A 14399-nucleotide genomic window follows, 5' to 3' on the forward strand; every position below is an offset into this window, starting at 1 on the left:
GTTAATGAGGTTAGCAGCAGCCTCTATCCTCTGGGTCTAGTCAAACTGAAGCTGTCTCAATGTAGATTGTCATAGCTATGTTGATTCATTTGCTTTTTTGGAAAAATAAAAAATTGGACTTTTCAAATGGTAAGGAAATATTCTCCTCCGGGTCCTCCCACATGTGCAGATAGTAGGTTTCTGACTGCCTGCTATATTCTGATAAAGTATTTGTGTTTCCATGGAAGGAAATGCTAATTAGTATTTCCTTGTCAATTTTCTAGATATTTGGAATGATATGTTTTTCCAAAAGTCACATATTTTAAATGCTAGTATCAGCTTCTGTAGGAAAACATAATTATATAATGAAATGGAATAGCATTTATGTTAACTTGATGATAATTGTAATTTCACGGGGCCATAAGTGCTCATAGAAATAGCCAAAGAAGGCAGGAAGGATTAGATCATTCTTAATTCTACAATATGTGACTTTTCAACACATATATTTTTACTTTTGCTAACTTTTTTCCTAATGACTTTGTTTTAGTTTGTTTTTCAAAAATAAATTTACAAAATTTTGCAGAAGCCAATTTGGCTAGTTAATTTAAATGCAAGTTTGAAAGTATGTTATGCAACAGGTGAAATAAAATGCTATTAAAGGCTGGGTGTGGTGGCTCCCACCTATAATCCCATTACTCTGGGAGGCCAAGGCAGGTGGATCACCTGAGGTCAGGAGTTCGAGACCAGACTGGCCAAAATGGTGAAACCCCACTTCACTTAGAAATATAAAAATCAGCCAGACGTGGTGGCATGTGCCTGTAATCCCAGCTACTCAGGAGGCTGAGGCAGGAGAATTGCTTGACCCTGAGAGGCGGACGTTGCAGTGAGCCAAAATTGCACCACTGCACTCCAACCAGGGCAACAGAGCAAGACTCCATCTCAAAATAAATAAATAAATAAATAAATAAATAAATAAATAAATAGCCATTGTAGAAATATCTCTTTTAATTTTATATATTCATCAGGTTTTTCTTGTTTTTTTTTTTTTTTTAATGCCTAACAAATACCTTGAAATTTCAGGGGGTTACAATAAAATTATTTTTCTTATCTGTGAGTGGGCTGGGATTTTTCTGATTCAGGCTATGAAGGGCCAGCTCAGATGGGCTTCACATGTCTCTTATTTGGGGACCAGCGGCTAGATAGAACATGCTTTTCTGATAGATAGTAGACGTACCAGAGACAAGGCCAAATCCTGGCTACTAGCATTCCATTGACTATAGTAAGTCATATGGCCAAGCTTAAAATCAATGGATAGAAAAATAAACTCCAACAATTCTAGTGATGGGCATTGCAACATAATATGCCAAAGGGTATTGACGTACAATTCTATGAAAGAAGAAAGTGAAGGCTGGGAACTGCTTGTACCATAAAGGGCTGAATTATCAAAGCAGACTAGCAACTCACAATACTAAACAGTGGCATTTAGTAATGATGGGTAAAAGGCACAAGTGAAAACTAAGCAGAGATACAGCAGTCTTCTCTAGAATATTCCCCATCCTGTCTGGTGCAGCTACCAAAAGTATCTTTTTCCACACTAGAACACATTTTGCTTTTTAAATGACAGCTAAGCACCCAGAAAGTGTATGACTTCTTAGACACTTGGCTACCACATTGAGGTAGACACTACCTGACAGCTTCTATTCTCCAGTCAAGTGCTTTCGAGGAATCCGTAAATGCCAGGTTAATTCACAAATAGGGCTTACTTACACTAAGCAATCTAGTTAGACTAAGAATAGCCTCAACCTCAAAAACATTCTTAGATAAGAGCACCTGTCCTGTGGCTCAGCTAGGTAATACATTAGAATATTTATAAGAGGTCTGATTAAGGTGGACATTGACCCCTCCCAGGAGGAAATGAGGCAGTTACAGACTTGCTGTTAATTCTTTTATTCCCAGGAGCTATATAATTCATTCTAACAAATATCACTTTTAAAGGGATTTGAGCTTAAGGTTTTCTCATTTACATAACCTCTAAATCTTATACATCTAAATATAAAATATGCTGTATCTTTAACTTGGGAATATAATTTGATAATATATTTTTAGTGGTAAGAATTTCAGTTATTATTTTCTTTTCACATTTTATATTTACCAAAATTTCAAAATAAGATGGAGAATGAGGAAGAAGAGGAAGAGAAGTAATCTAGCAATTATAAAGTTGTCCTCATATCCATACAAAGATATGAAGAGAATCATATTTGCTTATCTCTTATATAATGTCTTTTCTGGCTAGATGGTAAAGATAGTTGTTGATACATTCACCAAAGAGCGTCATTAGACATGTGTTGTGCACTAGTTATACTCCCTGTGATAATGTGAATACAACAGTAAGAAAATATCAAACATTTTCTTTGACTCTGATTCCTCCTGATTTTTTTTGTCTTAATCTTTTCATTCATACTCAAGAAAGTGAAACTAGAGTTTGTCAAAGTCACTTCAGGGCTAAAAAGAGAGATCATTTCCATTATGTATTATTAAAATAAACCTTTAGATAGTTTTAAAGTCAATTCAACATTTTTAAACTCTTGAAAGGGAACGAAGTTGACCTTGACTCTATAAAAGTATTTTCTGTATTCAGGAAAGGAGGCAGTTTCCATGTCAGTGCCACTTACTAAAATAGTATAAGAATTGTTTCTGATTTAATTATTCTCATTTAGATCTTCACTATCTTTAAAAGACAATTTAAAATTGCATATATCTATGAATAAAACAAGTTGCCTGAAAATATTTTATCCTAATATAAAATTATCTGTTGTGTTGAAGACATTACTATTTAAAGAGAGCAAACTTATTTTAGTGAGGTATTAATTGTAGTGAGATGGCTGCATTCTGTTTCAAGACTCTTATCTGGTAACAGTGATGTTTGGGCTTTCTTACACTCTCTTTATTTTGAAATACAAAACTTTCTCGGGCGAAAGGAGAAATTGAATAAATAGTACTATGAAATTCAACATATGGGAAGCATTTGCAGTTTAGAATTATAATGATATCATTTTAACCTTAAATAAAAGAGATTGACACTAAGAGGTGTGCATGTTTTCACTCACATCTGATAATTCTGTATATGAAGGATTCTGTTTCACTTAACAATTTGATCATCTTTAGCACAATCCTTAATGGGTTTTGCATAGGGAATTGTGTGCAGAAGATACATACTTTATAACAATCAAGTTTTACAATAAACTTTAGGAGTATTTACTCAGGGCAGCAAATCTGCAATTAATTTCTCCTAACTCCTTGTGAACCAATCTCATTTTCCTCCCACTTACACAGCCTATACATGGATATACTCAAATGTATAGAGTAAAACATAAGAAATGATCTTGGCTGATACTTAGGATGTGACTAATGGTTAGCTGTCAAGTGTAAAAATTGTGGATGATAGTGTTGATTTTTCTAATAAGCATTTTCATCTTTGGGACTAAATATTTTATTTTATATAGTTTTGAATTTTGAAATGAAAAAGTAACTGTCTTTTAATAACTGGAATCAGAGCTTACATCTTTCAAAAATTTTAATGTTTCTAAGTAGACCTGTAAGCATTAATATCTCCTTTTTGCAGACAAATAAACTGAATTGTACAAGTATTATTTAGGAAGTTATATATCCAGGCTGAATTTCCGTATTGATTAAAAAATATTTAAATTCAAGAATTGTATTTTATTCACCAAAGCCTACCGTGTAGTTTCTAAATATATTTTGTTTAAAGTTAAAGGAATTATCTTTTCTCAATGTCCCACAATATCAGAAATTTAAGTAACATAAGAAATATATGTATGTGTATATATTATATTTAATAATATTCCATGTTTAACATATTACGCTGTTAATGTTACATTTACATGTTACAATGTTAATGGTATACACTATATAACAGTAAAACTTATAACATTAATTTATTAAAATATAATATATATAATAACATAATATTAAGTTGGTGCAAAAGTAATTGCAGATTTTGCTAGTTTTGCACCAACCTAATACTATCTATTTATATATTTTTCTTCTTGTATTTTTTCCATCACTACTTACAGATAATAAAATCAAGAATGCCTTTTTTTGTGTGTAACTCTCTCCTATGCATTTTCTTTTTCTGCTTTGAAATAGTAATGTGACCTACTGCTTGGAGCTTTGGAAATAAGATCTAATTTTATAATTTTATGAATTACAATAGAATTATAATTTTAGAAATGTAAAATAAATTTATAACAGCATTTACTAGCTCCTTGCCAGGACATATACTAAATTCAAGAGCTTCTACCAGTGTGGATTGTTTCTCTCTCCACATTTACCAGCTTTTGTCTAGGCTTTTTCTTCCATGTTGTTTCTCCTTAATAGGCAAGCACAAAGTCAGGACAGAGTAGGTGACACTGCATGGGTTTCATCAAGGTAGAAAGCATCCTTGTGAATTACTAACTAAAAGATTGGGTTTAACCAAATTTCCAGATCTTTTTGCTTGAACCAGAGATTATTGTGTTTCACATCTAAAACTTGAAAGGAAATGAAATTGGCCTTATTTTCCAATAATTTTCTACTGCATCCCAAATAGTTGGTGTCAGTCTTCTACGTATATTAGCATATGTTTAATGACATTTCATGTTAATGCTTTAGTTAAGTTTGTTTTCAGTCTAATCATCCTTGTCTTAAAAATTTCTATAATGAATTGATTGAAGAATGTGCTTATTCCAAGTAGATTGTTACTTGTTTCCATTATAGATTTGGCGAATCATTCTGTTGTTTTATAAATGGAAATGATACTCTTCAAAACTTATTCGTCATTTTAAGAAGAGTTACTAAATAAGATTGAGGCTATCGTGTTTTTGTGTTTTTCAATACAAAGTAAAAACGGGGGAAATATAGGGAGGAAAATGTGTTAAAATTTAAAAAATATTTTTGAGATCATACTAGTAAATTTTGTTTGCATTTTTTACTTATTGGTGAGTAGAGAAAAAAACCCAAGTGAGTTCTGTAAATCATGAGATGATCATAACCTAGTTTTAAAATTTCAGAAACTGAGAGATTATATTTAAAAGTTATCTCATTTAAATTCTGATTAAAAAACCAGACTGTCATTGTGTGTCATTGACATTGGTTTCATCACAGTGTCTTAGCAAGATGTTTCAGGGACATACACAATTTGCACAAGTTTATTTACTCACAGTAAGAGAAAATTTCAAGCTGATAGCTTTAATTATTTTAGCTGATTCCTCTGATTGCACTCATGGAAAAGCCAAAAGAAGTGACTGTTTTTACTTTATCTCTCCCAGTCATAACTTATGTGTAGCTCTAAAGGCATCCCCAGGTTGGAAAACAAGTTTGATCTCTTTCTGAAAATGCTACTAAAAGAAGATATGCAAGAGATGTGAGATAGGAACATTGTAAGAACAGTTAAAAACCTAAAATTCAGAACTAAAGCTTGGGATGCAAGAAGGAATTTTCATGGAATTCATTATTTTCTTGAATTACAGCACCAAACACGGGTTTGCATGAAGCAGGTAGCTGGTAGTCATTTGTTGTATCAATAGTGATTCAAAATTTTATCTACAACTGTTAACAGTTCATTTTTCCTTATGGTTCTTTAAGCTCCTGTTTAGCTGTATCCCATCTGCCCTTGCTAAATACACTAGCTTACACACAGTCTTTCTGGATTCCGTTGACTTGAAAATTCAAATCTAAAAACAATGGCTAACATTTACTGAGTGTTCACTATGTATCAGTCACTGCTCTAAGATATACTAACTCATTCAGTTCCCATAGTGATACTTAGTGGTGTGTGGTGTATAATGATACCATTTCCACTTTAGAGGTGAGGAAAATGAAACTCAGGGAGGTTAAGTAACTTCCCTGAAGTTACACTGCTAAAAAGCATAGAACCAGAGTTAATACTCAGGCATTCTAGTTTCAGAGCATACACATGTAACCAGCACACCGGAGTTTAGATTATACACTGACCAAATGTCATTATCAAAATGGTATTTGTTCTCCCTTTTTATAAAGATTTCATAGAAAATTAACATGTGATGGTACTAAGATATATAGAGAAAAGTAACACAGTAATTTCACTACATCTGTTCATCTCATTACTATTAAACCTTTGGTCACTAAATAGACCATTATTTGATGAGGATAAGAGGGACTATAATTACTATTCCTGGATAAAGATTTGCCTGGACAAATTAATATTCAATCAGCAGTTCTCTCTGCCTGACACAGAAATGACTACTTTTCCATGCTATTTATAATTCCTGGTACTCTATGAAATTCCTCCTCTTAAATTAATACATTGGTCCTCCCTCGTTTACAGGGAATACATCCGAGACTTCTGGTAGACGACTGAAACTATAGATAATACTGTAGCCTATATGTACTATGTACAAATTTCTTTTTCTTTTTGTATAATTTCAGAATTATGTAGAAATATTTTTATCTTATAATAAGATAAAATACTTTTTCTTATCATAGATCTTAGCAACCTAAGCATATGATTTTTTTTCATTCCTTATTAAGTCAAGAATTTGCCTTTTCACTTAAAGGAAGCACCTTACAGTTTGTCTTTGGCATATTCAAATTGCCAGCATTGCTCTTGCACTTTGGGGCCACTATGACGTAAAATAAGAGTTACTTGAATACAAGCTCTACTTATTTTACTTAATAATGGAGACAGTCTGTCTTATAACCCAGATGGCTACTATGTGGCTAATGGGTAGGTAGCATGTACAGTGTGGATGATTCACATCCTGGGAGGGAAGAAGCAGCATGGTGTGAGGTTTCATTATGCTACTCAGAATGGTATGCAATTTAAAGCTTATGAATTGCTTATTCCTAGAATTTTCTATTTAGTATTTTCAGACCATGGTTGACTCCAGGTAACTAAAGGCATGGAAAGCAAAATTGTAAATAAGGGATGATTACTGAATTATGACAAGCCTTTCTCTGATGACTGCATTACAAGTTGAGCTATTTGCAGTGAGGTTGCCCAGAAACCTAGAGGTAGTACATGTTTTTTGAGATGGTATTTCCATTAATTCTTAAATTATCTCTTTTGCCAAGCACCCTTATCATCTTAGTTAATTCAGGCAGCTCTAATAAAATACCTTTGATTGTGTAATTTATAAACAAAAGAAATGTACCTCTCACAGTTCTGGAGGCTGAGAAGTCCAACATCAAAGTGCCAGCAGATTTGGTGTCTTGTAAGGGCCCATGTTCTGTTATGGTGGAAGGAGAAGGAAGCTCCATCAGGCCTCTATTATAAGGTTACTTATCCCATTGAAGTTATTTCATCAGGTTATAAGGCTCTGCCTTCATGACTTAATCACCTCCCAAAGACCCTACATCTTAATATCATCACCTTGAGAGAGATTTTATTATACGAATTTGGGGGGAACACATACATTCAGACCATAGCACTTATGATTACCCTATTTTAGCTCAAGCTAAGATCAAGAAAAAGAGATTTTCCTCTTCAGTTAGAAAAAAAAACTTTCAAGAGCCACCTTATTATTTGTTTAACAAATATTTATTAAGCAGGGACACTGTGCCTGTAAAAAAAAATAATTAAAAACTGGTACCCTTTTTAAAGGACTTAAGAGTTAATGTGCCTCTTAAGCAAAGATTATCCAACTAGTTTAGGCTAAATTAGTTCCAATCATATTACAGCATGTGTCCTCTTTGAACCTAAGTAATATTTACATATTTAATTATATGCCTTTTTAAAATATTTCACCTGTATTTGATTAATGTTGAATAGCCTAGAATCTTCAATGCAACTGTAAGCTTCTAAAGAGTGAGAAGACCTGGTATTACCTTTTCTTTTTTATTCATTTGGGCATATCCTTAATAGTTGATTGAATCACTGGTTATAGACTTTAATCTCAAAGTGATTATGATCTTCAGTAATCAATAACTCCAAATAAATTCAAATGCATTTTATGCTAAGCTATACTTTAGAATCCTTCAGTTTAAAAAATGTGAATAATGGTAATGCAAATTATAGTAAAGTATAACTTTGCTGTTGAAAGGACTTTCTGATACATGTTTTAATTTGTGACTAGCAAAAACCTTACGAGGCAAGCAGAGTACAATGGTCACTGTGTACAAGTATGTGTAAAGTAAAGAGTGATCATAGTACTGTATTTGCCTCATTTGTGGGGGTGAAAGGAGATTAAAAAGGCTTTGAAATGAAATTTTCAGAATTATGGAAAATATCATTATGTTATTACTGCAGACAGAACATTTCTTTGCAATTGGAACATCTAACTCTCGTTAAAACAATTTCTATGGATATCACTTGTGAAAAGAGTTCAGGGAACTATGTCATAGTAGATGTAATCAATTATACAAGATTACTGTGTTTCCTGTAAAGATATAGGGAAGAGAATGTCTTCATCAGAAATGTTATTTCTAGAGACTGCTTCTTTGATATATATCCACAAGAAACATAATTTCCTACTCAAAGTAGCCTTTCCTATTTACAAAAAAAAAAATTCAGTAATCTCGTGTTAGAGCTTTACCTCTTTTCTATTCTGCGGGGAGGTGTGGGGGAAGAGAAGGTGTTAAATGTGATTTTATATACATCCATGTATTATTTCATTATTGCATTGCTATAAAGAAATACCTGATATTGGGTAATTGATAGAGAAAAGGGATTTAATTGGCTCATGGTTCTGCAGGCTATACAGGAAGCATGATGTTGGCTTCTACTTGGCTTCTGGGGATGTCTCAGGAAACTTATAATCACTGTGTAAGGTGAAGGGGGAGCAGGCACATCACATGGCCAGAGCAGAAACAAGAGAGAGAGGAGGGAGGTGCTACACACTTTATGTGACCAGATCTCCCAAAACTGACTCACTATCACAAGGACAGTATCGGGGGGCTGGTACTAACCCATTCATGAGAAGCCACCACCATGAACCAATCACCTCTCACAAGACACCACCTCCAACATTCGAGATTACATTTCAACATTAGTTTTGGGTGGGGACAACATCCAAACTATATCAATCCATGTAATATTAATATATAATTATATATTATATATGTGTGTGTGTATAATATATATGTGCGTGTATGTATATATATATGCATGTGTGTATATATATACTTAGAAGAAATTGGTTTCATTGTAAATGGAAAGCATTTCTCTGAAAAATCCATAAACCCTTACACAGTGGGGGGAAAAATATCCAAAATACCAGGACATTATTTAAAAGGCATATTATAAATAGATTTCATCATACTGCTATCACTGTAAGCTTACAAGGGTGTACTGACTCTAGTAGCACCCAACCCCCAACATAGAAACAGTAAAGTAAAAATGTCTGATAATGAATCCTGAGTATGTAAAGCCGCTTTGAAGAAACAGAATTTTCTCAGGTCAAAAGGTAACCAATTAAGTTAGAATGTGCCAACTGGAGGAAGGACTGGTCAGTAATTGAAGCAAGGAGAAGAGAATAAGAGAGAAATGTCGTTATGTTTTCTCCTGAGAGAGGTGCCTGAAAACCATCTTGTCGGTCAATCACTGCCTTTAATGCCTGAAGAAACTGAAACCCAAAGAGAAAAATGACTTTTGCCCAAGCACAACACTGATTCACATCTAAACTGGAACTAAAAATCAAGATTCCTCACTTACACTTAGGCCTCTAGATTATAGAGCGAGCACATTTACTCATGCCTTTTCTCTGAAAGCAACAGATTCTAGGCAATAGTAGGAAAAATGGGGGCTTACTTGGTTGTTGGTTGTTTCAGTTTTTAATTTTTTCATGCTGATGTCAATGGTTAGAAAGATTTTTCTGTTAGCCTAGTGTTTTGATTTTATGTCTTCACTTAGAAGAAACATTACCTTTTTATATTTAAGTTGCACACAAAAAGTATTAGTGTCAAATATTTAAATACAGTCCTTTTAAACTTGCACAATACTACTTATAAAAACATATCAGAGAAAGGAGTCCACATGACTGAGTGAAAAGCTGTCTTTTGCCACAAATTTTATACTATATTTTTCAGGAATTATCTCCTTTCACTTCATAATTGCTGCTAGCAGGGGCCAAGCTAACCATTAAATAGTGTTTCTGACCTCATGCACTGTTCCATAGCTTTGTAAAGTGCATAGACAGTTTTTTTTCCCCAGAAATAGAAATGCTTCTGCTACTAAGTTGAAAGGCATTATTAGTGAAATTAGAATATGATAACAAACTGCAGATGGTAAAAGATTACTTCCTGGCAGAGAATAAATCCAAATGCATTTTATGCTAAGTGAAATGTGATTATCAAAAAATTGTAATAATAATGATTGATTCATGAATGGATAACTGTGATCCAGCTCCTGCTGCCAACTATATGTCTTAATCAGATCAAGATAGAATCACTGATTAAAGATAGAAGAAAAAAGAGAAACCATAATGAATTAGAATGAATATACTATATTACCAAGGTCATATGAGTTTTGATAGTTGCTATAAAATAAATAGAATAGCCATTTAAGTTCATTTTAAACCAAAATACATTCTTCTGCCAATTTTAAAATTATCTAAAATATATCTTATTACAAGATCATTTTAGTCAAATAAAACTTTAGGCACTTTTGAAATGAATGTTTACAGAATAAACAGGCAACAGACTGTACTTGATATATCACTACTATAAAAGCTTTTGTGGAGTATGCTAGCTATGAATTTCTAGCTATGAATTAAATGTTCTAATTTATTACGTTATACTCACAGTTTAAGAAATATTTACTGAACTCTTCTATACGCCAAGCATATCTGAGTTTTTAAAAATGTGTATCTTTCCTCTCATAGAGCTTATATATTCTAGTCTTATTACAAAAGAATATCAATATTTTCAAATAGTGTGCATAGGGAATGCCAAACAACACTTTTCTTATGAAGGGCAGATTCTTTCCACTCTCTTCCTCATACTATTGTTGACTCCATTTAGGGATCTTCTTTATCAGCAGGAGTGGATTATTTCTGTAAAAAAAGTAAAATCTGAGTAACATAAAATGAGCTACTAGGGCTAACAGGACATGTATAGTATATCTAACCTACTTTACACCATGTCTGCCCTAATGATTAGACCACACCTTTCCTGTTTACTCAATTATTCATTCACGACATGTTCATTAGGTGCCTAAAACAGACCAATCTGTGTTCTAGGTTTAGGGCATAAGGCATTGAGCAAAACACATAAAGCTCCTGCTCTTATGTAGCTTATATTTTAGTGAGGAAGAAAGAGTAAAAATAGAGAAATAGATATATAAAATACAATCAAATGATGATAACTATTAAGGAAAATATTAAGTAAGGTCAGGACATAAAGAATAACAGGGATGCTAATGAGTGGGGCTGCAGGAACTGAGGATTTGCATGAAGAAATAAGATGAAGGAATATCTAGGTGAGGAGTACTCCACACAGAAGAAATAGAAGGAAAAGTGAATTCACAAAACAGGGTAACCAATGAGTGAGCCAAAATAGAGTGAGAAAGGCTGATGGAAACAGGAGTTTGGGTTATATTCATGGCCAGGCAGAAGCTTATAAAGGGCCTATGGGCCATGATAAGAGAGTTCTCATGAAGAGTTATGATTTTTCTTTATGTAGTGTGTGTGCCTGAATGACAAAGCTGTCAATATATAAAATATTCATAAAAGAAAAAAAATTATCCATGGAGCTATTCAGAAGCAGTGCACTCTTTCTAATCAAAACTACTACTTGAAGTCTGTTTAAATGTAATTAAAAACAGTGACTGAGTTTATAAGCACTGGAAAACACAATGTCAAAAAAAAGCACTGGAAAACACAATGTCAAATCCAGAAGACTGACACATAAAGGTAATTACAATGCAACAAGCACTTAAGTATGTTATAGGAATAATCAAGGAGCAAACTTCCTCCTCTGCTTTGAATGTAAAAAGATACAAAGCACTTTTTCCCACCTGCACAATGAGAAAAAGCCAAAAATCTATTAAACTCTAATTTTTTTCAAGCTGTAACTTTTCTCAAAGTAACCAAATAACCCAACATCCAAAGAGGGACAAGTACTTTCAAAGAGAGACAGAACACAAAACAGTCTGTCCTTAGAGATAATCTAGGAGTAAGAGGTTACTGTCTTCCACACAGGCTAGGAAGAATCACTTGCAATTTTTATGAACTCATAAAGGCTAAGTGTGAACTACTGTATTTATTTGGAATAGCAGACACAAGGGGAGTTTGTACTTATTTGCAGGCTATTGAAGTACTCTTCCAGCAAGTGCTCTTGAGAAAGTTGGTATCAGAAGGATATGAAACAGAGCTCTCCTGAGTGGAACTATGGCTGCAGGGGACCAGGCATAGTACTCTTGGGCTTTAAGCAATAGGAGTTTGAACTCTGCAGGCCCATTTTTATGTGGATTTTTTCAATAAATATATTGGAAATTTTCTTGGAGGTTTGCAACTATTTGAAAAAAAAAAAGACTCACATATGAATGGTATAGCCTAGAAATATTTTTAAACAATAAGAAATGGTTAGGTAGGTCATTAATTCATAAGGTAAACTGGATACTAGTCTATTTTATGACTAGATACTAGTCTATCATTTACCACTATAAAATTTACACAAATCTATTATGGGAAGTTAAAATGTATCAAAACTTACACACACACTTACAGACCTTACATGGCACCATGCCCAGTCTAAAGAAATATAAACAAATGTCTAAATGTGGCATTAAATTATAACTGCATAAAATTAACTGTAGTACATATTGTACTACTGTGATAATTTCACAGCCAACTCCAGTTGCAACTGTGGTGAGGTCAAATGTTGCAAGTAACATAGTGTGAGCAGTTTGTCTCTCCAGTAAATTGTATCATGCAGTAAAAAGTAACCTCTCACAGTTCTTGCATAGTTTTCACCAAGTTTAGTGCAATACTGCAAACCTTGGATAATACCATGGGACCCATAAAAAGTGCGACTAGTGATGCTGGAAGTGTTTCCAAGAGGCAGAAAAAAGAAGCCATGACATTACAAGAAATGTTTAATTGCTTGATGTGTACCGTGGACTGAGCTCTGCAGCTGAGTTTGACTGGCATTTCAGACAGACAATTTATCTTATAAACAGATAATGTAAACTTATGGTATTGAAGATATAGTACAGTACTGTAAATGCATGTTCCCTTGTGATTGTCATAATAATATTTTCTTTTCTCTAGTTTACTGTATTATAAGATACAGTATATATTAGTGTATGAAATATGTGTTAATAATCTGTTCACATTATTAGTAGGACTTCCAGGCAACAGTAGGCTATTGATCGTTAAGTTTTGGGGTAGTCAAAAATTATAGGTGGATTTTTTACTGTGGGGGTTGACACTTCTAAACTCTGCATTGTTCAAGGGTTGACTATGTTTTTCCCATCTATTCACCCTTTATCCCTAGAAAGTAAAAGCCTTAAGATCTTGGGGAAGGGGGAAAAATCCTCTTATCTATGGGGTACATGCAAAGACCTATTGCTACTGGTAAAGACTCCTGGGAGCTGGTCAGGAAACTGTCTTGGTTCCAGGATCTTTCACAGATATAAGCCAAGGTTGGCACATTCTGGGAGGCAGGAAACTCTCCAGAGACCAATCACAAATGAAAGGTGGTGTTTCAAAGATGAGGGGCAGTAACAGTGACAACACCCTTAGGCCCAAGTTGCACATGACCTGTGTGAAACGGAGGCTGGACCAGGTCCGCGATAACCTTGTGCAAAGTAACACACAACAGATGTCTACCACAGGGGAAGGACCCAAGACTCACAGAGGACAGAGGCACCTCCACTTGGTGCAGCTGTGAAGGGACAACTAAAACCTGAGGGAGAAAAAGAAACACTGAGGAAAAATCTCTGGCAACACAGGCCCTATTCTAAATACTACAAAGTAATAGCAGCCTGCTGCTAGAGGAATCCAAAGCCTGTGGTGCACTGGACATAGTGAGGGCAACAACAAGACACATATCCATATCAATTCCTGACTAGATTGCTACAGCCATACACCAACAGCCTGGTAGGAGGAGAGTCTGTATCAATATATTCTATTTACCTCAGTCTGCAGTCTCTTACAGCAATATGTCTAAAATTATAAGAAACATTAGAAAAAACAATCCATTGTCAAGATGTAAAGCAACAAAAATAGATTGAGCTATATCCTAGATGTTAGAATTATCACAGTGACTATAAAAGTAACTAGGGTTAATATGTTAGCAGGAAAGGTGAATATAACATACATGAATAATAGGGGAAATTCAGCAGAAAGAAGGTAAACTAAAGCAGTACATAGAGGGAAATTTATAGGACTAAATGTCTATTTTAGAAAAGAAGAATGGTCTAAAATTGACAATCACAGCTTCTA

At 33.9% G+C, this 14399-nt stretch overlaps 1 protein-coding gene across 12 annotated transcripts in view; it reads left to right on the plus strand.

Annotated features, from left to right (window-relative positions):
- The window catches only part of GRID2 (glutamate ionotropic receptor delta type subunit 2), a 1506491-nt gene that overhangs the window by 756217 nt on the left and 735875 nt on the right, over positions 1-14399 (plus strand). The window contains exon 1 of one of the 12 annotated variants that reach the window (XM_017008119.2): positions 6601-6828. The exons of the other annotated variants lie outside the window; for them this stretch is intronic. Coding sequence (XP_016863608.1) covers positions 6765-6828 — 64 coding nt within the window. The 5' untranslated portion in view covers positions 6601-6764. Of the gene's footprint in view, positions 1-6600; positions 6829-14399 lie in introns of those variants that run through there. 12 annotated transcript variants of the gene reach the window in all.

This window comes from Homo sapiens, chromosome 4 (genome assembly GCF_000001405.40).
Source record: "Homo sapiens chromosome 4, GRCh38.p14 Primary Assembly".
Lineage (NCBI taxonomy): Eukaryota > Metazoa > Chordata > Mammalia > Primates > Hominidae > Homo > Homo sapiens.